This window comes from Homo sapiens, chromosome 2, assembly GCF_000001405.40.
Source record: "Homo sapiens chromosome 2, GRCh38.p14 Primary Assembly".
Classification (NCBI taxonomy): domain Eukaryota; kingdom Metazoa; phylum Chordata; class Mammalia; order Primates; family Hominidae; genus Homo; species Homo sapiens.
This window is the reverse complement of record NC_000002.12, coordinates 142,116,121-142,142,755: the sequence shown is the minus strand read 5'-3', so window position 1 is coordinate 142,142,755 and position 26,635 is coordinate 142,116,121. Positions and strand designations below refer to the sequence as shown.

Here is a 26,635-nt window from a genome sequence, read left to right as displayed (position 1 = left end):
CACAGTGACAGCAGATGTCAGCAAGATTCAGTAATTGGCACCCCAATTGGAGGCCCTGGTGTTATCATCTCTAGTCCACTCAGGTGGACATACTGGTTTGAAGAAATTAAGTAATTGGACCAAATTATTTGGATTGTAAGCGCAAAATTTAGAAATGAATCCAGAATTGCAATATGCAGTCAGGGAAACTTTGTCCTGGATCACTGGATTAACTAGGTAGGATTCTTTAAGTTACTTTTTAATAGCTAAAAGATTACTTTAACAACCTGTGATAAGAATCTGGAATTTAGGCTGCTTCGACCATGGGAAATGGAGAAATGAGAGATGAGATCCAAGAAGGTATATATGGAAGTGTGAATGTAGACTTTCAGGTGATACAACTGTATATTGGATGGATTTTATGTTCCTAGCTAGTTCTTGATATGTTCAAATAAGATATTTTTATTGCCTTCAACTTAAAGTGCAAATTCTTTAGTATGCCTTTAAAAATGCATTATCTGACACCTTTGATTTTTCAAAATTCCAGATAATCATTTTTCACGTTACTCTCTAGCAATGTGTGCCTCAACACATCCCGTTCCATCTGCTAGAATGATCATCCCTCACTTTTATTCCTAGCAAAATATTCAAAAGTCATCTGAAGTGTCCCCTTCTTGGTGATACCTTTTTTGCTCCACAGGAAGCAAAATAAATGTATGTTTATCAAAGCCTCCACTGTACATTATGGATATCTTCCTTTATAGCACTTAGCAGGAAACTTTTTAATAGTCTCTTCAGACCCATTTTCTCATTAGACATATAGCTCTTGAAAACAGATGCCATGACTTTCCACTAGAGTAATCCCATCCCTAGGTACTGTGATTTTCAAACAAGCACACAATAAATAAGTGAGAATAGAAAGGAGAGAGGCAAGAAAGGAAATTAAGGCCTCCTTTTCATTGCCTAGTTATATTACTGCTTCATTACCACTATATCAGTTCTGCATTTAGAAATTAACTAATACAAAGCAAAAATAAATAAATAAAAGGTTTTAGCCGGAGACTATCTGTGTGCATATATTCTTTTTCTAGATAAGGATATTAATGACAGTTTTTGGGATCCAAGTACATTACATGGAATATAAATTCAATAGTCTATTTTAGAGAGGATCTAATTACAGTCCTATCACCTAAGTGGGCCACTCTGAATTAAAACAATCACAGCCTTGGTAGGCTATTGCAATATGTTTTTAAGCCAGATATAGATAGAGTGGTTATGACAGAGTGGTTAAGATATATGTTCCTTCCTCCTCTTGTCCACCATGTTTTTTTCTTTTTAAACAGAGTCTCACTCTGTCACCCAGTCTGGAGTGCAGTGATGGTATCTTGGCTCACTGCCACCTCTGCCTCCCAGGTTCAAGCAATTCTCATGCCTCAGTTTCCATAGTAGCTGGGATTACAGGTGTGTGCCATCATGCCCAGCTAATTTTTGTATTTTTAGTAGAGACAGGGTTTCACCATGTTGGCCAGGCTGGTCTTGAACTCCTGGCCTCAAATGATCCATCCACCTCGGCCTTTCAAACTTCTGGGTTACAGGTGTGAGCCACTGTGCCTGGCTTTGTCTACCACTTTCAATTCCAGGCTACAGTACAAATATGAAAAGGCTCATAAAACCCAAGAAATCTAAGATAGCACACCTTGCCATCAAACTGCCAGGAACAGGTAAGTATATGTATTCTTTCATTCTATTTCAATATTATTCATGGATGTCAACTTGAAATTAAAGAAATCTTGAGAGTTCAAAGATTCTATTTCTAACCATATCAACAACTGCCTGTCCTCACGCACAAGGATATTCCATTTTCATTTTCTAATACTTATAGCTAGTTGATTGTTCTTTTGATATATTAAGAGAAATACCTAGATATAATAGACATAAATTTTTAAATGCATGTTTTGAAATAAAGTAATTGATACTATGAATGTAGACAGAATAGCAGGCAATGAGAACTTTTAGAGGAAACATTTAGCAAAAACAGAGAAACAACTAAGTGTTAAAATGACAGTTTTCTTTGGCTTTTCAGATAGGCGGATATGAGGAAAGAAAATATTCATATTTATATTTCACAGATGCACATTTTTATCATTTTATTTTTATTTTAAATAAAATTAAACGCAGTAAGTTTTTAAAAGCTAACATAGCTACATGAACAAAAATATAAAAAGTATCCTATAGGGGGCACTCAAGTACTATGAACCACAGCATCTGCTTCCTCTAGTTATATTTTGTTTGGAAGAAAAGGTGTAGACCCTTGAGCACATTTTCATATTACCTTTTATGTAAAGAACAAAAGTGAGTAAAATAAATGAAAATACTCTTTGTCACACTTCTACTATTCCCCAGTGAAAGATAAAGGTATATTAAGAGGTGTGATTAAACGGCATTTGGAGAATTATTATTCTAAAAGCATAAAGGCATGATAGTGTAGACAGCTGAGGTGTTGAGCATTTTCAAAATTCTAAACAAGGTTTCTTCTGCATTATAGCTCAATGCCAAGATAATTATCATTCTCTTCTGAAGACTGTTTTGTCTAGAACAGTAAAAGGCACAGTCATGTACCTAATTTTTATTTGGGTTTTAAAGAAGAATAATATGAGAATATTTAAATTACTTTTAAGAAATATAGCAAGGAGGACTTAGTCAATCACTTGCACAGAGAATTTTTAATAAATGGTGGGGACCTTTTTTAAGGTTGGGGGGGTAGATGAAGGGGAGGACAAAACTAAAATTCACTCCGGCAGCCTGTGTACCAGATGTTGTTTCAACTGATCTATGTTTAGATAGCTAAGAGTTCGTTTTAACCAAACCCTAAATGAAAACTTGTCATAGCACCTAAATGAAATCAAAACGTGATTTCTTTAAAGTGGTGGTGGTGGGGGGAAGTTTCATTTAATCTTTGAAATCATAGTTAAAAGAAGTTGCTTTTTACTTTTAATATGATCATATTACAGCAGCTTAAAAATGAACCTCTAAATTCCCTCAGGATAGTCATAGGAATCCCATTAAGCATTTTAAACACCAATCTCCCACTGAATTTCCCTTTGAAGCACTTCACAGTGCTCCACACTCAGAGCACGTGTGTTTTATTTCTGTTATCTTCACACAAGAGAACTTAATTTGTGCTTTTGATTTTAAAACAGGACATACAAGTACTAACTGCCTTCATTAGCTTGTTCACCACTATCACAGTTGTGAATAATGAAATCACTTCCAGAGCCATTTGTCAAATGGATACTTGGGACATCTGCATGTCGGTACGATCGAATCCTACAGCCTGTTTACAATATAAAGTAAGACATTAACCTTTTTTCCATTTTGATTAAAGATATCTAAATATTTGCTTACATAAAATTGAGTTAGATGTCAACAACTCTTAGCAATGATTTGAGAAGAATCTCAGGTTATTATAGATGTACTTTAAAAGCATCAAACTTTAAATAAAATAAGGTAACTTGTAACTCAGACTTCTTGAATTTAGTAGTTACTATGGCCAAAAAGATAAGTTTTTCCAGAACAATCTTGATTAGAAATAATCTTCTTCTGGCTCCATAATTTTATTTATTAGGCCATGTGTTCAATTTTGGCTTGGAAACTGTCACTATCATAAATAAAAAGTGTGGAAGGGGAAGTAGAGGGCAGAAGAAACTGGCCCGAGAGCTACAAAGAGAGACAGGCAGTTGTCACCATGACATCCCTGAGGCTATAACTTGTTTTCACTTGCAACCTACAGCTTGGAGCATGATTGGTTTTGGCAACTCCACAGCCAAATTCAGGCTGGTGACTAGATGTCTTTATATATATATATATATATGTTATATATGTGTATATATATGTATATATATATTATTGTATGTGATCAACAGAATATGTTACTTTTTTTGAGCTATTTTCCCAGTAGCTATATGTATCTTTGTGGAAATGTCCAAGTTGATTAAACTCCTTAGTTTTAGATAACTAATATCAACAATCCTTTGACCAATTTTACATGTTATCCAAATATCAGTCAATTTATGATTATATATTTATATATACATGTACTTTTTTATTTTTCAATTCGTTTTATAGTGTTTTCAGGCAAAGCTCAGTAAAGAGCATAGAAACTATTTCCTGTCATCTCTATTCACTTTCTTTCACCAAGAAAAAAAAAAAGAAAAAGTTAGGTTAGAATAAATTAGGATTAATATACATCTAAAAGTACAAAATTGACATTTCTTTTAGAAGTAAATGCATTTTATCACAAGGAAAAATATAAACTCCAAATAATAATCATATATATTCTTGGTCATTCTATGTTCAAGGTATTCATCCTCTCCTACCTCTTCTGTTGTATACCTGAGAATAACTTTATCTTCACGCTCATTTTTGTGGTTGTTGTTTTAGAGTAGGGTTTGCAGAATGATATGAATGATACCCTGGGTAAAGTCTATTTACATTGCAGAATGTAGCAATAAAAAGTTATAAAAGCATTTAATAATCTTTCAACCGTAATTTAACTTTGCTAGGATTCATCCATAAAGTCACATATTTTTACAAATCTTGGTAAATATATTTAAGTCCAAATGTCACCATTTTTTTTTCTATGAAGAGAGACTTGACATAAAATTAAGGCATTCTATTTAGGGCTAAAAAGCACCTTTTTGCTTTTGAATTTTTATTGTGATTCAAAAGTATAATTTTCATAATAGAAAAACACTTTTAGAGGGCAAGACACATTTTCTGAGAGAATTTTTTTTTACTTAAAAAATTAACAATGTTCTAGAGAAGTTAGTTTTGTAAGTTTTTCTTTAAAACAAACTTTAGAAAAATCTAAAAGCCCTCCTCTAAGTAAATGTCACTTATGACACACTTACTTAATACTTACTCTGTGACAGGCACTGTGCCCAAATGGAGTTGTTGACAGCCTCCTGAAAGCAATTCTGAGTGTGAATTAAGCAAGATGCTCTTTGAAGAAAGGTACGTTTTTCTCATCTTTCTTTCCTTTTTAAAATTTCTTTGCTTCTCTTTACTGTTTTTTTTCTCTAATTTATTATATGAGGGCCACTTCTGATAAAAGAATAGAAAAAGATAATTACTCTTCTTTAAAAAAAAAAAGCAAAGGAAACAATCTCCCCCTCTAAAGTAAAAAACAAAAAGAAATAAACTTGGCCTAAGATAATATAGCTACTAAGTACTTTTTGACACTTTAACAGTCATTCATTTTATTAACATACATATTATGTGTAAGTCATAGGGTTCTGGCATCTCATCTTCTCAGCTCCCTGTCCATGGCCCATGCCCAACCTCTATCTTTGTCGGTGTAGTATCCTGATTACTTCAGATATAAAGATGTATTCCATGGCAGAAGGACCAGGGAACAGCCGAGATAAGAGATATTAAATAAGTTCAAGGGAAGAAGTGGAAAGCCATTAATCAACAGTAAGGCAAATTGCCGTTGAGTGCCTATTATAGGAGAAAGTATTATATAGAAAGAACATTTTTGGGGGGTTGAAAATTATAAAATGCTAAAGGCTACATAAAAAGTAAATATAAGAAAAAATATGAATTGGATATGAAGTTGGAAATTATTATTTAAAGGGGATAAGATGCTTGAAAGGGTCACAAATAGGTCTTCATTAATAGCTACAATAAAAACAAATAAAAGAATGAGTTGAATGACTTTTATAATTCTCTTTTTGTCCTGATTTTATGTGACCCCACAACAGAATAGAGTCCGTAGAATCTAATGAACATGTAGGCATGTATCACTGTTGATATTTCTGAAAGTTCTTAACATTTCTGTACTTGCTACCAAGTTCTAGATCAAAGTATGTTGTGATTTAAATATATTTTGTGATTTCTTATTCACTGTTGAATTCAAATAGAAATTGGGTTTTCTCTATGACTAGAAGACACTTTCCAAGAAAGATGCAGCATTGATTTTACTGGGTGATCCCATTAGTGGCCTTTATGTGTCATGCTTGTGGTTTCTGAGAGGATGGTTTACATGCTGATACTGGAAAGTCAGTCCTTTAGCAGAAGAATGATATTAATATTTTATTTAGATTATATGCTATGTTCCTGCAAGAATTATGTTTATTATCCTTATTGCTATATGCATGGTGCTAAATACAGTGTCTGTCACATAATATATAGATATTTAGTGAATGAATAAATTCATATTCTCTGAGCTACCACTTCTGGGAAGTAAAACAAACAACAACAGCAACAACAACAACAAAAACTAAAAGAATACCAACAAAGCTGACTACATAATACGGGAAGCATTCAAGAAGCTTTATTCAAGGTGTATTTCTGATATTAATAAAATGTGTGACTTCAGACTAGTCACGTTTTCTTTCTCTAAAAATTTTTCATTTGCAAAATACGGTAAATTGGAGTAGATTATTTGAATGCTCCTCCCAGCTCCAACAATCTTAAAGTCTCTAATTATAATTAAGGAGCAGCAAGATGATGACCAGAAAGAAGGTCAGAGATCAATATTCATAGGTAGAAACATGTCACAAGGGCATATTCAGACAAAGTGCATCCTGACCATGTCCACTGACAATCAACCCTCCACCTGATACACTAATTCTATTCTGGGTCTGGAGAAGGCAATGTGGAGCTCGTATTGAACACACATATGTCAGGGTCTAAAAGTACCAAAGCAACATACCTTATAATCAGCAACTGACTTAAAACCCGAGGGCTAATTCCATGTGAGTGGAGTGACAAGGATTTGATGAATTGTTGACATTTTTGTATTACCTACACACGGATGGCAATATTACCAATTGTACCTTCTCTTGACATATCCAAAGAGCAAAATAGGATTTATATCTTCAGACTATATTATTATTATGGATGTCAATCCCTTAAAAAATGAAAAAAATGATATAACCTTTAGTCTTTCAAGTCTTCTGCTGGCTTTGTCTAAATCTGTAGACTCCTTTTATTTTTACTGTCAAAAGTTTATCAAACAAGAGTCAGAAAAAATCCAAATAATCAAATCAGTATTTAAAGCTTATATTGTCTTCTGAAACTTATAATTGCCCTCAGTCATGCTTTTTGCCATAATATTTATGTCTTAAAACATTTACAGATAGTAACAGTAAAGAGAAGCTGAAAATATAAAAAGAGAAGACCAATGTAATTGTCTTGGAAATATTTTTGCTTTCCAGATGTAATTAGATAATTGCATCACTCTTAATTTTCTTTTCAATTGTGCATACCTCCTAATAATTGCTTAATAGTAAAAATTAAAGTTACACCAAAATCTTATTTATCTCAACCAAATCTTTGTATCCTAATTGAGACAGTATGCTGAAAAACAGAACCCACTTTTGAAGAAAAGCGGTTAAAAATGTGCCTTGATCTGTTGCAGTTTGAGAAATAACTTGCATCTAAAGTTTTTTATTTTTCTTAGAGGCTTTGTCCAGAGTAACTCTGTTTCAAGTTAAAGAACTGATGATGTTTCCTTAATAATCCTTTCTCTCTCTCTCTCTACCTCCTCCGCCCCCTGTCTCTCTCAGTCTCTTCCCTTTCTTTTTCATCTTGTGTCTGCTGCTGCCTGGCAACTTTTCTGTCTGGAAAAAGGCAGGGTAAGAAACTTAGCAGGCCTTGCAATGATAGCTGCAGAAATCCTTAGCAACCTAACTTTCAGGCCAACTCTCCTTCACACACATCTCTTCCATGAGACAGACTGTCAGCTCCAGCTTGTTTAGACACACGTCCTCTCCCTAACTTAACGATGTTCAGATGTGTAGCACAAATTGTTACTATCTACAGTAAGAAATCCAATCTCACAAAAATAATTAAGTTAGCAGAAATGAAATGTGATGTTTGATCACATGTATGGAAACTGTGGCTCTAATTGGGAAGTGTAAGATTACCACTGACTGATAATTAGCATTCATGTGTTGTTTTAAAACAAAAAGGAAGAATGATTGGTTCTACTTTGTTTAATTTATCTTAATGAGAGATTTCATAATATTCTATAGTTTGATGAATTAATTTAACTTGTCAGTGTTAATAACTCTGATTAGAATGAATAAATTATAATGGAGCCTAGTAACAAACAAAATTCGAACGCTCACTCAAGCTTTTCCCTCTTCACTAATAGTGCACTTTATTAATTTATTTTTTCATTAAAGCATATATTATGGGGAAACAAAAGTATTTCATAGAAAATTATACTTAAGCTTTTCATTTATTTATGATCCATTAACATTCAATGGTCATTTAAAACCTAGGAGCAAATTATTTAATTTTAAAGCTCAAATTTGGTCTACACTTTTATCAACCTCACTGATGCTCATAGAAACCAATCTTCTTTTATAAACTGGTCATTTTCAAAGAATATCTGGAAGAAGAACCACTTTATATAAGAGATTTGATGTGGGACAGACAATTTTATCCCATTTCATTTTGACACCGGCTTTATTTCAGTTTTGGAGCAAATATATATTTTCTGCTTAATATTTAATCTGTTTATTTCATATTTTGGCTTCTTGGTATGAATCAGTGTCCTTAGTATAAATTTTAGTCTTAAAAACTCTTAACAAGCATTTAAGTTCATGTGTTGTTGTCCACTTAAGTACTGGTGCATACCTAAGCACCTATACTTTCACCAAATTTTTGAGAGAGGTTTTATACCATTTAGATCTTTATTAATCATGGTCTTAAAATAAAGCTTCAATTTTTTTTTTTTTTTTTTTTTTTGAGATGGAGTCTCACTTTGTCCCCTAAGCTGGAGTGCAGTGGCGCGATCTCGGCTCACTGCAACCTCCGCCTCCCAGGTTCAAGCGATTCTCCTGCCTCAGCCTCCTGAGTAGCTGGGACTACCAGTGCATGCCACTACACCCGGCTAATATTTGTATTTTTAGTAGAGACGGGGCTTCGCCATGTTGGCCAGGATTGGTCTCAATCTCCTGACCTCGTGATCCTCCCACCTCATCTTCCCAAAGTGCTAGGATTACAGGTGTGAGCCACTGTGTCCAGCCTAAAGCTGCAAATTTTATTTTATAGATAATACTTCATTAAGATTAATTCACAGTGGAAATTAGGCTTATCATGTTACCTTTTATTGGTGCTCCAGCCTATACTTTAGTAACTAATCTTCCATATTTACTATCACTATTTTATAGTAACTGTTTTGAGTCCTATGTCATTCATGATTACTGACTTAATTGGTGATTACTTAAGAATTCTATTTTGCTTTATTATTCTGGTCACAATGTGCAGACAATGCATTTTTGATTTTTTTCCACTCAATGAAATAAAAAAGTCAACCAGATGATCTAAAAAGATCATATGGTTTTTACTCTGGCTAATTCATTTAACAGGCTATTAGGAGGCTCTACGTATTTGGAATGTTGTATATTTAGAATACAAAATCTCCTGAGTATTTGCTACTCTTATGATCTTTCCTAGCTTTTCCCTTTTCCAAGCTGACCATGGAATCTAGGGCTGCTGCACGTACTACAGAAGTGAATGAGTTAGTGATTTTTAATCATAGCATTGGGGCACTTTAGTATGTGGTAAAAGTCTTTGGTGGGTCATACTGTTCCTGGCTGCTTTCCTTTACTTTGCAGTGAAGTGGAGGGCGATTGGTGGTAATCTTTCAGAAGAGGAAGAATCTGGATGTCCTTAGTATGGTTTGTAAGCACTCCTCATTTTCTTGCCAAGAGTTAAGTGGATACAGATCTCCTAATAGCTGACCTTCTAGTTGACTGAATGGGATCATGTAAGAAAGACACCTGCTACGTTGTCCCAGTGAATAAGTTTGTCATACAATACAGAGGTCTGTGGACCCTCGAGAAAGAAACATTTATTACTTGGCACATCATTCAAATCTCTCTCTGTCTCTCTCTCTCTCTCTCTCACACACACACACACACGCGCGCACACACACATATTCTTTAAACTCTGCCACTCATTTCAAAGTTTGTGAATTTTCAGTATGAAGTAAAATATGTAAAAAAATCTTTTTATTCTATATTGTACACTATATTATGAAATAATAAAAACATCTAGGAAAAATTAGACATGTAACAACTTTAGAAGAAAAGAAGCATACACTTCTCTACTAAAAGTACAAAAAAATTAGCCGGGCATGGTCGTGGGCGCCTGTAGTCCTAGCTACTCCGGAGGCTGAGGCAGGAGAATGGCGTGAACCCGGGAGGTGGAGCTTGCAGTGGGCCGAGATCGCGCCACTGCAATCCAGCCTGGGCAACAGAGAGAGACTCCGTCTCAAAAAAAAAAAAAAAAATTAAGCATACACTTTTGAATGTAGGAGTCATATTTCAAACACAAAATGGTTGTATTTTCAAGGGAAAGTAAACTTTATAATTTAAAACATGGAAAAAGTGACATAAAATACATTTATAATCACAGAGTAAGAATAAAAAGGTGAAATCCACAGATTATTGACAATGTTCTGCAAAGTCATCTCTGTGTTCTTTCATCTAGTCCAGTTTTTAATGGCTTCAAAGGAGCATCTAAAGATATTTCTGGATAATTTTACTCTCATAAATAGGTAGATAGTAATGCTGGCATTCACTTATAAGTCTCAAACAGCAAAGTAAATAAAGCTTTTAAAGCATCTTCCTTCACTTTTCAATCGTTCTCTTCCTTAGTTCTGTTCCCTTCTCATAGTTTTCCTCTCCACTCATGTCCAGTTTCAAAATATTAAATATAAAACCTTTTCAACTCTTGTTCTTAGAAGAGAATTCCTGATGTTACAAGGAAGAAAGTAAGTCTACAACTATTAAGATTTCTGAGTTTTAATTCCGTAGCCACTTTGTAATGGCAAACTAAAATTTTAGGGACTGGGATGATCATGTTGTAAACTTAAGTGGTCATAAAAACAACTTTACTAATATTATTATTCCAGTGATTCCCGTTGATGCCTCCGATGGCTCGGGAAAGTTCTTACACCGCCCCTGTAGTATATGGAAAAGGAAAACAAAACAAAACACAAAACAAAAACAACAAAACCCTCAAAGCCTGTTTAAAATGGCTCGAAGTACCCTTTTAAAGACAGAACCCCAGAGAAAAACGCTGCCAATTCGTTGCTTTATTGTTCCCTGCCTGGGGACCTCAATAGCCTTTTCCATTAACCTTCCCTTCTTACGCAACGGTTAATGACTTTGGGGGTTGTTTTGCTTTCTGTTTCTGCTGAGTCACTAAATTTTGCCTCTTTGTCCCCAGGTGCTGCTCAGCATAAAAGTTAAAAGTGCAATTCAGGAAGTACTGGGATTCTGTGTAGAGCCGAGGAAACCATTTCCCTAAGAGAAGCTCTGTTCCTTGGCTTGTCCTTCCTTCCCGGGAAGGAAGCTTCCGAGGAACGAAGGGAGAAGCTTTGTTTTGCCTGCAGAAGCAGCCCTGTGCTCGGCTGAGGGTTCTCAGCTGGCTGTGAACTGCGGAGCATTGTAGGCGCCTGGCTGGCTCAGGCCAATGCAGAAGTCTCTCCCTTCTCCAAAGACCCAAATCCCCACAGAACCAGCTTCGAGTTACTTTCCCTTCAAGGGGATTAAAATAATTGTGATTTGTGGCGCTCTCCGTTCGCGGTGGTATTTTCCTGTTGTGTTAAATGCCTCTTATTAAGTAATAGATGTGATTTATGTGAACGACGAAGGGGTGTGTGGTGGATTCGGTGATTAATCAGTGAATTCCCATCCGCTGGCATCTCTCACTGCCCCTCTTGCGTGATGTAAGATCAGACGTACCCTGCATTGAAAAGTCAAGACACACGGGCGTCTCGCTCGCGCTCACACACGCTCTGCCTCCTCTCTCCCGCACGCGCGCATCCCTCCACCTTCCACATCCTGCTCCAGGCAGGAGAAGGCTGACTGGCTGGACTCATTGAGCTGAAGAATTTCCAGTGACATTTGTAAATGACGCCGCTCGATTCCAGGCTCCAAGCGGCCCCTGCCGCCGCCGCCGCCGCCGGGCCGAAGGTGCCGCCGAGCAGTCTCCAGCGCAGGCTTCCTTACCGGGCGACCACAATGTCCGAGTTTCTCCTCGCCTTACTCACTCTCTCGGGATTATTGCCGATTGCCAGGGTGCTGACCGTGGGAGCCGACCGAGGTAAGGAGAACACCTCCCCGCTCCCCTCCCCTGACTTCCTTGGCTTTCCTGCTGGGCGATGCTTGCAGATAAGTGAGTGTGAAACTTAAGTCCTTGCAGCTCCGCTCCCCGGGACCGGGTGACCACCGTGCGCTGGCCCTGTGCGGGGGTGAGAGGTGCGGTGCGGGATTTCTGAACCAAGTGCCTGAGTCCTCGGCACCCCCACAGCTTTTCCCTTTGGCCGTTTCCCGGTCCCCATTTTGTCCCCTCCGGGAGTGTGTGCACTTGGCTGTGCGCTTCTGTCCGCGAATTCTAAGCGCTGCAGATGTTGGAATGAGAATTCGCATTTCCGAAAGACTTCCCTCCGCGATGGCCCTCAACTGCGAGCTTTTGCGAGCTCCAGGTTCTCCGCGTTAAGCGTGTCCGCCCTCAACTTAGCTCCCAGGTTAACTTCCTTACCTGCTGCATTCGAGGTCCGTGGAGCGGCGAAAGCGCCGATTCAGGCCCCTTTCGTTTCTATAGCCCCTTCCTGGGGGCAGACTGGGGTCAGAGTCCTGTCATCAGCAGAGAGGCTTTTAGGACGATTCCGGGCGCACGCACCTGCTTGAAATTGACTTTTCGATTATGAGGGTCTGTGACACAGCCCAGGTGCTCTGAGGGGCTAACCCACCCCTGGAGTGCCTCTCTCCAGTCTGGCGCTTTGCTTTTCCTTTTTCTCCAAGCAGCTGGTGAATGGTAGAAGTTTAGAAGGGAATGGATATGGGGAGCAGAGGAGAAAGGAGGTAGGAATTAGAAAAAGCCGGGATTCTATAAACTTTTCATCTGGAAAATCAAGAATCCCTGTGCGAGTTTAATAATCTTTGACAACAGATGCACTGGTGAAAAAGGGAGGAAAATACTAGATGAATATTTGGGGCACTGGCCCTGGCCTTGGAATGGTTAACTGGTTAAAGTAAAATCAGAAGTATCATAGATTTTTTTAAAATCAGAAAATGAGCTTATATTGACTGGTATAGTTCAGCTTTTTAGTTTAAATAAGAGAGAGAGAGAGAGAGAGAGAGAGAGAGAGAGAGAGAGAGAGAGAAAGAGAGAAAGAAACCCAGATCCCAATGCCAAGCAAATAGGCAGAATGTTGCATTGGGAGATTTAGTTATTGTATTTACATGAAGCAGATTATGAATTGACAAAAAATATTGCTTCATTATAGGAAAGAACAGGGGAATGAACTGCAGTGTTTCTATTCAACCTGCTGTTGGCAGCCAGATTCTAGCCTTTGTAACATACCTACACGTGTTATTTCCTCTACCAGTGGTGGGACTAATCTGAGTTCCTTTAGGAAATCTGACACTTATTGGTGATAATCTTTTAAGCATATCATTGCCACCTAACCATAGCTTCTGAACTTGCTCAACTTGCCTTGAAGTTGGTGTGGAATGGTTGGAAACTATACTGATGAAATGGAAGCACATAGCTCGCCTTGAAATGATGATGTCTTTGATCTGGAACAATCAGCTCTCAACCTTTCTTAGGAAAAATGTTTGAAGTTGGACCAGAGCAGATGAACAGAATGGAGATTTTCAGCCCAGTATGCTAGCAAAATATAATGGTACTGGCAGACTACTGCTATTGGGCTCTTCCTGATTGAGTCTCCAATCTCCAGAAATTTGACTTCATCTAAAGCTGAGTTCTCAATGCTTTTGTATACATTTATGAGGATAGAACTACTGCTACCATGATTGGAGTAAATATCTGAAGAGAATTTTGTATAGAACATAAAAAATACAGACCCCACAACTTTCTTCTGAGATAGAATATTAAATAACTAAGAGGATTATATTTGGTGCCAATTTAGTTTCATGAGGGAGAGGAACATCTAAGATAGAAGCAGAGCACATGGTAAACGATTGCTAGTTTTTTTCTAAAAAATGAAATAGTGTCGTGTTGTATCACCACGTCCACATGAAGTACTATATCAGATAGCACAAGTAAAAATAATTGTAGACCAGCACTTTGCCACTATTATATATTTAACACACTTTCAAAACTGTTAGCAAAGAGCTAAAATTCTCACAGTTACCAAAAGTGAAAAGGATGGGCCCCATTTGGAAAAAGGAATTTTAAAGAGAGAAATCTTGTTGAAAGTTAAGAAAGAAAGTGTTACTGCATTATGACAAGCTTCCCTCACTAATATGCTGAAACAGAAGATATGGGAATATAAACTCAAGAAAGAGGTTAATGAGATGTAACTTTCTGCACAGGCTTATGTCAATCGTCCTTGAATAACAGAACAGGCATGTGAATTATACAGATGCGTTTTGTAGTGCAAGAGCTAACTGCTTGACAAAAAATGAGAATTCACATTTAGGTTCTACGTGTACTTATTGTGTAATAGGTAGCTTCTCAAACTGTATGAACTATATCAGAAGTGTTTGTATTACCTTCTAGCTGTGTTTTTCCTTTATACATTCATAAGTTCAAACATTGTATTAAATAGAACAAGGCTTGAAACTAACTCGTATGTTTATGTTCAAACCATATACGTGCACTTGTCTTTTAATTCCTTATTGTTTATTTTATTAGTTTATATTGATTCTATATAGAGCTAAACTAATGTACATGTAAGTTTTTATTACATTCTATCACATCTTAAAAAGGAAACATCTTTGTAACTCTTAACAGCCAAAATTGGAAGATAAATCAGATTCACTTAGAATCAACTAATTTGTCATATAACAATGTCATATCATATCAAAGTATTGCTTGATAAGGATTAAAACTTAAAAGGAAGTATATCTTAAAGTGTCAAATTTTCTGAAAAGGGATTGAGAGGCCTAATGCTAGTCTGTGTTAAATTCTCGAGTATGATACAATGTGGAGACACATTTCCAAATAATTAAAGTTCATGCTGTTATAGTCATTTTAATGTATCTGTATAGAAAACCATCAAACAATGGCAATTAAATGTATATCAAAATTTTAATCTCCCCTCAAAGAAGAATGAACTGCGATTTATGTCTCTTCATATGCCACAAATAACATTAAAGTTTTGTTTTGAAGAGGTTGCTAATCTTTGAATTTGTTCTCTTTCTCTCTTCTCAAGCTCAAATTTAAACTGAGTGAGAGAGAAAAGAGAAAATGGAAAAGGTAAAGAAAGAATTTAAATGTGCTAAAACAATAAGAAAGAATGTGAATTGCAGAAAACAGAATTCAGGAGGAAAAATGGAGTTAAGAGAAAGCTGAAGATAAATTTAGGAAAAAGATGAATGGATGGATGGATGGATGGATGGATGGATGGATGGATTCTGCCATACATCAGAATCTGAATCAGTATTTCTTGAATAGGTTAAAATATCTTTAGACAAAATAATTTCTTAAAATGTTTTTATCTCATTATTAAAAACATTATATGAAAATATTTACAGTATAAAAATAATTTAAGGAAAGTGCCACCAGTGTGAATCTGAATATAATTAGACCTCTAAGAATGGAGAGAGACATGAGAATATTGCAGAAAAATTAAATATTAACTGTGCTAGAATTACAAATATGGAAGTGATTTTTTAAAAATGTAAGTGAAGGTAAAGGAAATTTTCTTAGAAAGGGTGCTAGATGAGTGATATGGTTAATGTATTCTTAGGACTTAGATGACACTTTCTAAATGCTGCTTGTTTTTCAAGGTGGAGGTATGCAGAAATACTTAGTTTGCAAATCTATTGGATCCAGGACATTAGTTTCTTGCCAGTTACCTTGTCAATTTCTTTTCTCAGCCCAGGGGATACCATAAAAATCAGCTCCATTTAAAGTCACCTGAACTGAACAGGACTTGGTCTTCTACAAGGATTATGATGTTGAGGGAACTTTATGTCTTTTCTCCATTCTATATATGGATCCAGTTTTTTATGTTTCTGCCATTAATTTTTGTATCTTAATGTGAAATGTGCAACTCTCCCTCCCTTTCCTTCAGCATTTTCCTGGTTATAGGAATTCTGTGTAGTAAAAAGTACCAATCAAACATACTGATAGATTTCTCTATCTTCTGTGGCTGTCTGTCAAAACAATTCTTGTACAAAGGAAACACTTGTCTTCATTCTAGATAGATGCATTCAAAGAAAGTAGAATTAATCCTAAAAGTTAAACATGCCTGTGCCAACATGATATCATTCGTCAAACTAAGTTAGTAGTAAGTGGAACCCAACTATACAATTGCCCCCAACCCCGTTTTTAATCTCTCTCTGTGTGTGTTTATGTGTGTCTGTATATCTGCTTTAAAATGGCTTTCCTTGGCACAAACGCCATTAAAAATACCACTCTGGCTTGAAAATTGGTGATGGTTTTTATGAATGAAACTTTTGCTTTTGAAAACTCCAGATAAACATGTCTATTTATCTGGACAAAAAAAAAAGTGAAATGAAAAAAATTTTAAGTTATTTTTTGACTCATAGCATATAATATTCTAATACATTTCGATATAACAAGTATTTTGTTTTAACAGAATCTGACTGTGTGGCAGAAACACGTGTCAAAATTATCTGCTTTTGAAATGAATATAATTATGGTATACCCAATGCTTATAATTTGAAGCAATACATTTAGTAGCAGAATGCTAAAGAAAATAAAGCCAAAGACTGAGTTCCATTATGAATTAATCAGAATATATGCTCAGCCAAACTCCTATGAGAAAATATCTATGTCTACCTTAGATAGTTTTAAAACTTTTCTTAAATTTCTTCAAGAAACCTGGCTTCCCCCATATAATCCAAGAATAATGACCAAAACTATCTTGATGCATAGAAAGGTCAAATAAGAAGGTTTTTCTTTTGGTTTTGGCAGAGGAGGGGGGAGAGTAGGGAAAATTAGCTAATCAAACAGAAAAATGTCAAGGGATGCTTTTTATTTTCTTCTGTGGAGTTGCTATACATTTTCACATGGATAGCTATTCCCAAATTTAACCTGTGTCACAAACCATTGTCTAGAGACATAGAAATGAAATTGCAACAGAGCAATCACAAATTGTATAGTCTATAGGCCTTGGGAACATTCTCCAGTTATTTTATTTTGGATGGAGATTTTTAAAACTTATTAGTTTTTTGGGATAAAATATTATTTAAACAGTAAATAAGACAAAAAATGAAAATATCTCTAAAAATAATTTGAGTTTTTAAAAGTTGGTTTTTGGACTAATTTCCATATGTGAGTTCCACTGGCACAGAATGAGTGTCTTTACCTCACTCACTCAATTTTGAAAAGTATTATACTTGCAATAGTATTGAATCTCTGTTCTGGCTCTTCAGTCCTCTCTCATTTGAATAACATGTCAATCTCACCAAGTACATATGAACCCTCTATTTTAGAGAAAGGAGAATGAAGGATTCAGGAGATTCTGCCATTCAGCACAACAAGTAAGCTTACATCTTCCAAATGTATATGCTGTTTTTTTTCTGTTTGTCTTCTATAATCTGCCCTCACAATTTTAAATCTATATTTTCCTCTTCATAAATGATCAGATGGCCTCCCTTTTTCCCCTGGCATAATTACAAGGCCAAGTTAGAAAGTATGTATTATGTATTGCTCTGTTCTAAATTGAGTGATATTAAAATGTAGAGTCAGTCTCACTCTCTCCATCTCTCTTTCTCTCCATCCTTTCTATTTAGGCTATCTCTATACAAGCCCACATATTTTGACTGAGCTCCCTGACTAAACCAATTGATGAAACTGACTAGTAACTAAATGGAAATCAAAACTATTAAATAATAGCCATACATCCTGTAAAAAAAAAAAGTAAGACTGGTCTTGCAGGAAAAGCCTAAATTGAGATTCTATGAAGAAACAATAACAACAACATATTTCCCTGAAAGAATTATGCAACATATTTCTAGTTTGCAGAGCAAATCATATGTGCTTTTGCTGTTGTGTCTCTCATACTAGGCAAATGAAATATTTTTGGTAGTAACTACATATTTATATAATGGGGTATTATACAAGTTTAAAACACTATTAGAAAATAAATAAGTATTCTGAATTCATTTGTACTCAAAGAGAATTTACTATATTGAAAGTGGAAATTTATTATTTTTCTTTTTGTCTTTACTTTTTAACTGAATTTGTATTTCTCCATTTTGTGAAACATTAAAAAAAACTTAAATATATTCCAAAATGTGATTTCAAAGATTTTCTCTCAATAAAGAATATATATAGTGGAAATCATTCATAAATTGGACAACAGGATTAAATGCTCTTTTAAATATGACTATAATAATTTTCATATGCAGTCACATTAACTTAGTTTTAGTCTACAATTAGGTACCCAATTATGATTTTTAAAAATGCAATGGCATGAATAAATAAATGAGTATACCCATTTGTTGATCTTATTCCCTATTACTTCAAATTTGTAAGTATCCTTAGTGGAAAAGAGTAATGTTCATTTTGGAAATAATCATGTCTCAACATGATTGGGGTCTACTCAAGGGGGAGGGTGGGAGGAAGAAGAGGAGCAGAAAGGATAACTATTGGGCACTGGGCTTAACACCTGGGTGGTAAGATAATATGATCAACAAACCCTTGTTACACATGTTTACCTATGTAACAAACCTTCACATGTACCCCCAAATCTAAAATTAAAATTAAAAAAAACATGTTTTTCTGTTGTTCAATAACTCTACTCATATTTGTTTAATAATGATGTATTGTCTACATTTGGGATTTCTTCTTAAATATTGCAGAATAGTTGTAAATACGTAACGCTTTTCAAAGGTGTCTTTACCTTTAGAAAAGAAAGAAAATTAATTTTGATTAATACATTTGTACCACAGATCCATTTGTTTAATCTTATTTTTCTCAAATATAAGCTCGTATATAAAAGTTTCTCAGATATAAGCTTGTGTATTTAAAAGTTTCCATTTAAACATGAATAATATTATAACTATATCCTTTACAGAAGTTGAGAAAGTACCTTTTCATATACAATTTCTTCCAACTTTGTTAAGAGAAAAATAACCAAAAAAAAAAAAAAACTTCTTGAAGAAGATAGATCATGTTGCCTTGCTAAGATACCGACATTACATTTCATCTCACAATACATTCTTATTAACAGTCAGACATCTCTTCCTGAGTTGCATACACCTCATTGTCCTGACTGGCTTAGCCTTCAGACCAAAGACAGGTATTGTTGAAACATGACCTCATTTTAGTCAAAAGAATATGTTTCTTCTTTAGGTAAGATCAAGGTACCACCTATCGTCTCTTGTTTTATTCTTGCAATCAATAGGACATCCCTTCCTAACTTTTCCACATTGCATTGACATCCTTCAAGATTTCCAAGACTGCTTAACTTTAGAAATACGAATATATAATTCCTTAAGAATTTTTCTACCGCTGAGTTTTTCTTTAATGACGATTTGTCATCTTAGCCCTTTCTTCTTAAAATGAGAAAAGATAACTAACAATGAGTTTTGGGGAGAAATGAAACTTAGTTATGGTTGCTTTGTGTGTTCCTAGCATATCTTAAGATATTTGTGAGAAAGAAAAGCTGTAGGTGTAATGCTGATAACCGAAATGTGTTTAGAATCATCTGTTTTCTTTTGAAACTAGGATGTGTAAGGAAAGGAAGAAAAACAATGCCAAGAAAGAGAACTTTGATAGTCAGAATTTATTGAAGCTTCTGTCCACTACTGCTCAGATCAAGTAGCTGAGCTAATTAGAACCTTAAACTTTTGCTAAAATAGATATTATAGAGATTTAAAAATGATTCAGTTTTTAGATTATCTAAGACATTTTGTGCATTTCCAAAGCTTTTAATGGTATATTTTTATTGGGACAAAAATGTTAGAATAGCAAGTGTGCTTTATTGAAATATTCCACTTTATCCAACTCTATTAACTTTTAAGGCATTTTTTTCATGACTAAGATCTGGAAGTACAGTGATAATGACACCACCTCGTGAGTGAGATTCTTGCCTCATCAGGTGAAAGCACTACAGATTGTGCCCACTGGGCATCCATATTTTTGAGATTTTCATTAAGCATAATAACTACATCAGATTTGTAGATGGAATTACTAACTCAGAATTCAGGCACTCTTGCTGAGCGCCCTTGTATTGATGTCATTTCTAACACAAAGACTAGCAGTTCAGGAGCACTATATTGATGTCCTGTAATACAACAGCACACTAATCTTATTTGCAAGAAAATTTGATGACTATCCAACATGATCAACATTTAGAATATCTAAATCTAAATGTTGAATTTAGATATACTAAATATATCAGATATTCAGAACTTAAACCTTCTTCTTTGTCCGTTGTTGTATTACACTCAATTCTACAGTTCCTTCTCCTAGCACGTTTTCTTCCTATTTTCACTTGCTAGTGATCTTGTCAAATATTTAGAAATTAATCTTGACAGTGAAAGAACCAACATCTTAGCACATTTTGACTTCCTTTGCTATTCTCATTGCTAGGAGAACATAAAGTAATGAAGGGCATGAGGGTTTTACCTTGTGTGTATTTTCATCTGGGTGTCTATGAAAACACCACCAGAGTTTTACAGAAAATTGCTCCGACCCATTCTGAGAAGATAAACATAGCTATGACCCTAACGTTCTGTGAGTGCACAGAGTGTAATGTCTGTGAAAACACATCGTATCATGTATTGCATTACATAAATACCTATTATTTTATTAATTATATTAATTGCTTAATATGAGTTACTAATAGCAAGAAGCTCTTTACATTTTCAGCATACCTTCGCTTTTCATTCAAATTTTTTTTTTCTTGCTGAATCACATGATCCTTGAAGCAACTCATATAGTTGGTGATCACTCATGTGTTTATTCACTCATTTGACAAAGATGAGCAAATAAGTGGTAATCACTATTTTACGTGGTTGGAATGAAGCAAGTGAACAAGGTAGACAATGTAACTGGGCTGATAGGGCTTTAGTGCAAGAGGAGACAGAAACAGCAAACAAATAAATAAATAACATCCTTGCTAAAAAGAAAGAAAAATAATGTAATGTGACTGAGGACAATGCAATTGGGAGTCGTAGTTATAATCGCAGAAGGCCTTGTTGAGTAAGTGACATATTTGGTAAAACTAAGTGACGAGAGGGGACAAGCTCTGAGTCATCTAGAGGGAGGAATTTTCTATGCAACCCTTGAGAGGAAGTTGTGATTTTGGTATTTTAAAGAAAGCAGGTCACTTTGTCTGAAATAAACTGTGTGTGTTTGGGAGAGAACAGAAGTAGAGAAAGCCATATTTACAGTGAAGTCAGATTAGGTCAGGTAGGGTCATGCAGATCAAATTGAGGCATTTGGGTTTGGTTCTGATTTTGAGCAGCTACTGGCTGTCTAATCAGAGGTGAAAATGATGCAACTTACTTTTTAAAGAGATCATGCTTGGTCTGAAAAGAAGGACAAGAAGGGAAATGATGAATCCAGTTCAGGGATTATCAAATTCATCCTGGAAAAGATGTTGATGGCTTGAATGAGGGAGTAGTAGTGGCAATAACGACAAGCTACAACAGAGATTTGCATTTTTAGTTTAGAAAGATTTTCTATAAGAACGAATGCAGCACCATTCTATGTATTAGGGAGGATAGGCATGAAATAAAGCCGCAAAAGATAATCTTTGGGGGAAAGGGTTAATATTCTAATCAGATAATAAATTATTTCAGGCTATTTTAAATGGGTACATTCCATTTTGCAGTGCCTTTTATTGATTTGTGTAAAACATGGTTCACAATAAAAGTCACATGATGGTCATATGTGGGCCCTACAATATTGTTTACTTTCTTATTGCTTTTTCTTTTATATTTCAGAATTATTAATACCATATTTCCTAACACCCTGTGTTTGCCTATGCCATGTCTGTAAAATGGAATTAATTGAGTCTGACTCACAGTATTCTTTAGGGAATTAGTTAAAATGATACACTTAGCAATGTTTTAAGCATTGACAAGTATGGAAGCAATAATTTTGCTGTTATTTCTATCAACATAAACCAGCATAATAGCAAAAGAAACAGGCATTGGCCTATGAAGACTTATTTGGGTTTGTTTGTTGAAGAAATTTGCAGTGTTTTAAAGAAAGAGCTCCTTTTCAATTGTCCCTGAATTCTTGACATGATTGAGAAGAGTTTGTACTGACACTCAAGTTCCTGCTGATGAATATTTAATTAGGAAAAAGGGAAGAAATTGTAACAAAGCTATTATTGGCTGTATTCATCACCCTCCCTGGAAATTCCAAGAAAACTGTAGTAAAGGCCGGGCATGGTGGCTCACGCCTGTAATCCCAGCACTTTGGGAGTCTGAGGTGGGCAGATCACCTGAAGGCAGGAGTTTGAGACCAACCTGGCCAACATGGTGAAACCCTGTCTCTACAAAAAATACAAAAATTAGCCAGGCATAGTTGCATGTGCCTGTAGTCCCAGCTACTCAGGAGGCTGAGGCAGGAGAATCACTTAAGCCTGGTAAGCAGAGGTTGCAGTGAGCAGAGATTGTGCCACAGCACTCCAACCTGAGCAACTGAGACTCTGTCTCAAAAAACAAACAAACAAAAAAACCTGTAGTAAAGAAGTGAGTGGTGAGGATCTGCCAGGTTAGGAGAACCTACCAGGTAAGAGTTTATGATATACGGTTATTACCTGTTGGACAATTAGAGCCCTTGGATTATTCTTATGTATCTACACATTCATTGAATAAACATTGTAGTGCCTGACATGCTAACATGTACCAGTCTCAGTGTGGTTTGTAGACTCGGAGGCAGAAATAACCACCCTATTAAAACCAAAACTAGAAAATAAAAACACTAGCAATTGTACAACTTTGGATTGTCAAGGAAAGCTTGCTTGTGGATACGGATCAAACGGTTTGGGGTCTATTTAGTCCTTGTTGAAGCTAAAAAGGAAAGAGAGAGTGAGAGGCAAAGAAAGACAAAGGAGGAAAGTACTATAAAAATGATGGAAAGAAAAATATCACAGCCTAGAGAATATATGAAAAAAAGAGAAAGGAATACACTATTTGAAGGAAATATTGTTACTGTTAAGCTGATTGAATTACCCTGGGTCCTAAGGTATTTGAAGATTGTTTTGGGATTTTGTTCCTATGATTTTTTTCATTGCTCTGTTTTCTCTTTTGGTGCTTTCTCTCCCATTCTCCACTGTGAGAAAAAGTGAGAGTTTAGGTTTATAAGTTGATGTCCAAATCTGCATTTCAGAGTACCAGCTTAATCCCCAAAATATCTCACTCAGTTTGTTTTTAGGTTATGAAGAGCATCTAAACAGAGTGCCAAAAAGGCAGCTTGGAGTAATCAACCCTTTTAAACACTATTTAATTTATATTGCTGGACCTGCAGCATTGTGGAAGAATATACTTTACTTCAACCAGAGAAATTACCTTGGAAATGCTACATGATCATTATAAGTAATGTATAAGAAAATAACTTGCTTTCTTAGTTTTCAAGCATGGTATGTTTTTACACTTAAGGGAAGAGACACTAAACATGCATTAGGTTAAAATGAAAAGAGATTCAAAGCTCAGGCATTTAAAATTTTAGAAATGCCTAAATAAAATATTGAAGCAAAAGATCTCAACTAATTTATTTGTTGTGTAAAGAGCTTACTTGCAGGTTTGGTAGATATTTGCTAGATGCATGTGTAGAAATATAATTTGTCACTTTAAGTTTACTTTTCATTCATGTTGTCAAACCCTCTTTGATAATTTGGCTCCAAAATTTCAATGCTAAAGTCAACATTATACCTTGAAATAAGTTAAATATGAAACACATACCAAAATTTTATTAAATTTTACAGTGACTGAACCAAATGAAATTTGGAGCTGGAGATTTTGCATTAATATTTAATTTGGGACTCACTGTAAATTTGTTTGCTGTGTACTTTAGCAGAGGGGTGCCAAATGTTTGGAAATAAATTAATCTAAGTAAATAAAAACAGCAGAAAGGGGAAGGGTTACTTGTATATATGTGAATACGAGGTATGATTTATGCCCCCTGACTGGAACTCTGCTCATATCACACCAAAGTCTGCTGAAGGGCTTTTTTCTTTCATAAGGAAAGTACTATGGGAACAGGTTCAAAATGAATATAAGGGAGTTATTTATATATTAGGTAAAGCACAAAAATGATAATTACTGACTGCACACTCACAGTTAAAGTCATTTGGGCAGAAAATGTTGACCCGTTGGAACAGACCATAAACCTGCTGTAAAGAGCCAAGGGAAGTAACCAAAGCGTATTCAGATAGCTGTGAAGCTGGGGAGACACCTGAAAAATCTAGCAATAGCGTGAAAATCACTTAAGTAAAAAATAAACTTTCAGAGGCTGAAGCTATTTGAATTTACCAAGATTTAGAGATGAATGCCAAAGAGGATTAGTAAAATTCTTCCATGCAAAATACAACAGTAATGGCTCCATCACGACATTGTAAACCCAAGCCCGAGAGTCACTATGTAAGTGAGAGTTGAGTGCAATTTGTAATAAGAATAAAAACATTTCCTTAAAAAGCAAAGAAAAAAAAATCATATAAAGGAACCCGAAGTAGGAATCCTGCCCTTTTTCTTCCCTTCTGCAGGCAAAAGAAAATGATTGGCAACTTTTCTTCTATGGTTTCACAGAGAGAAATAGGGTTGACTGTGGCTTCTGAGATTCCTAGACTCAGAGGAAAAGGCTGCTTAAATTTCTATGCTCATCATGTCAAGCAATGGCACTCAGACATATTTGACTGATCTTTATGGATTAAAAGTCAAGATATAGGGCAAGCTTTGCAAACACAAAAGCATATAGCAGCCAGGCTGGTCAGAAGATGATGTGGGTGACTTGTAAATTGGAGAAAATCCACACTGTCCAAAAGGGCAGCTGATATTCAACTTGAGCAGACTCTGGCCTTGAGTGATTGTGGGCCCAGGGTTACAGGCCTTTAAGACTGGCTGGGAATCTGAATTTTTATGGAAAATATCCTAAGTTTTAAATATTGCCTATCAAGATAAAGCAGAAAACACATACACAGACTCTCTCTTTCTCTCTCTCTCTCACACACACACAAACACACACACACACAAATAAAAATCCATTGTGGGAACCAATAAAGCAAGTTGCTGGATTCAACATTGAGGCTAACAGCCTGTGGTTTACTATGCAACCCCTGAGTTGCCGATATCAGTAGAAGGCTGGACTGGGTCACAATGAAAACATGTTTTTACTTGGTGCACTGCAGGCAAAAGATGGCCCTAGAGAGCCGAGCATAATGACTAGATATTTCGACTGGGCCATTATGGCAGGATGTGGGTTCGGAAAGAAGAATACGAGGATGAATCCTGCATTTCTGTCTTCACATCTTCCTCCCCCTTGCTAAACGTAAAGCAGAATCGGGGGAGAGAACGTGGATGCAGAGAAAATCATTAATGACCCAGCAGAGGTTTAATGATATTAGACCCAATTGTGACTTAACATGGGATCATGTTTCTGAAAGTGCTCTAAGAAACAAAACTCTCTTAATACTAATGAAGAAATGCTAAGCGGAGATTTCAGCCTTAGTACTGCAGGGACCTGGGGGAAAATATTCCGTGTGGGAAGTAACAGCACGTGGTTGAAACAACATTACAATGTCACACACACATTGTTAGTGAAATGTGGAAGGAAATAAAGAAAAGAAAAAAAGGGAGCAGAAGAAAAACACAGCAAAGGGAAGACAGCAGAGATATGATTCTGATAAGTAGACAAATTCTCATACTGAGATACAAATGAGATCACATTTAGGTTTGTATTTTATCTTTCTGTTCCTTGGGAAGCTGTGACTAAACAAGGGCCAACTGTGTGCTCTATTACCACACACTGACTTCAGACTTCATACATGTGTTTCACATAAGAATTAGTTTATCCAAACTCATTATTTGACGAAGTATTTTTTTAACTTTATATTTTGATATAATTTTAGACTTACAGAAAATTTGTAAGTCTAATACAGAGTTTCCATATACCCTTCAACCAATTCCCCAGATACTAACATAATACATAACTATAATACAATATTAAAACAAAAATGTAGCATTGGCAAGACAACATTATTAATGAGGGTATAGATTTTATTCATATTTTACCAGTTTTTTCCACTAATGACCTTCTATCCCAATATCCAATCCAGGATGCAATGTTCACTGCATTAAATTGTCATGCATCCTTTGATTCATCCAGTTGGTGAGAGTATCTGTCTTTCATTTACTTTTATAACCTGGGCTCATTTGAGGACTGCTGGTCAGTTCTTTAGTAACTGTCCTACAATTTGGCTTTGTCTGATGTTTTCTCATGATCAAATGGAAATTATGCATTCTTGTCACAAAGAGATGTGCCCTACTCAGTATACCCTTGGGAAATGCATGACAATATACCCTATTATTAGTTATGTTAATCTTGATCAATTGAGTGAGGTGATATCTTTCTCATTCTTTTTTTTTTTTTTTTTTTTTTTGAGACAGACTCTCGCTCTGTCACCCAGGCTGGAGTTCAGTGTTGCGGTCTCAGCTCACTCCAACCTCCTCCT

General features: G+C 35.6%; 1 protein-coding gene across 2 annotated transcripts in view, besides 1 other annotated feature; it reads left to right on the top strand.

The window, feature by feature from the left end:
• Positions 10,673 to 11,872: an enhancer, noted in NCBI's record as "BRD4-independent group 4 enhancer chr2:142888453-142889652 (GRCh37/hg19 assembly coordinates)". NCBI's record gives its function as "activates an origin of replication core promoter dependent on BRD2, P300/CBP, MED14 and CDK7 cofactors, and independent of BRD4, by STARR-seq in HCT116 cells {active_cell/tissue: HCT116}" and the evidence as "EXISTENCE:reporter gene assay evidence [ECO:0000049][PMID:35650434]".
• Positions 11,740 to 26,635, top strand: part of LRP1B (LDL receptor related protein 1B) — a 1,899,594-nt gene continuing 1,884,698 nt past the window's right edge. For both annotated transcript variants that reach the window (NM_018557.3, XM_047444771.1), the window contains exon 1: positions 11,740 to 12,108. In NM_018557.3, the coding sequence (NP_061027.2) occupies positions 12,027 to 12,108 (82 nt within the window). In that variant the 5' untranslated portion in view covers positions 11,740 to 12,026. The remainder of the gene's footprint in view (positions 12,109 to 26,635) is intronic.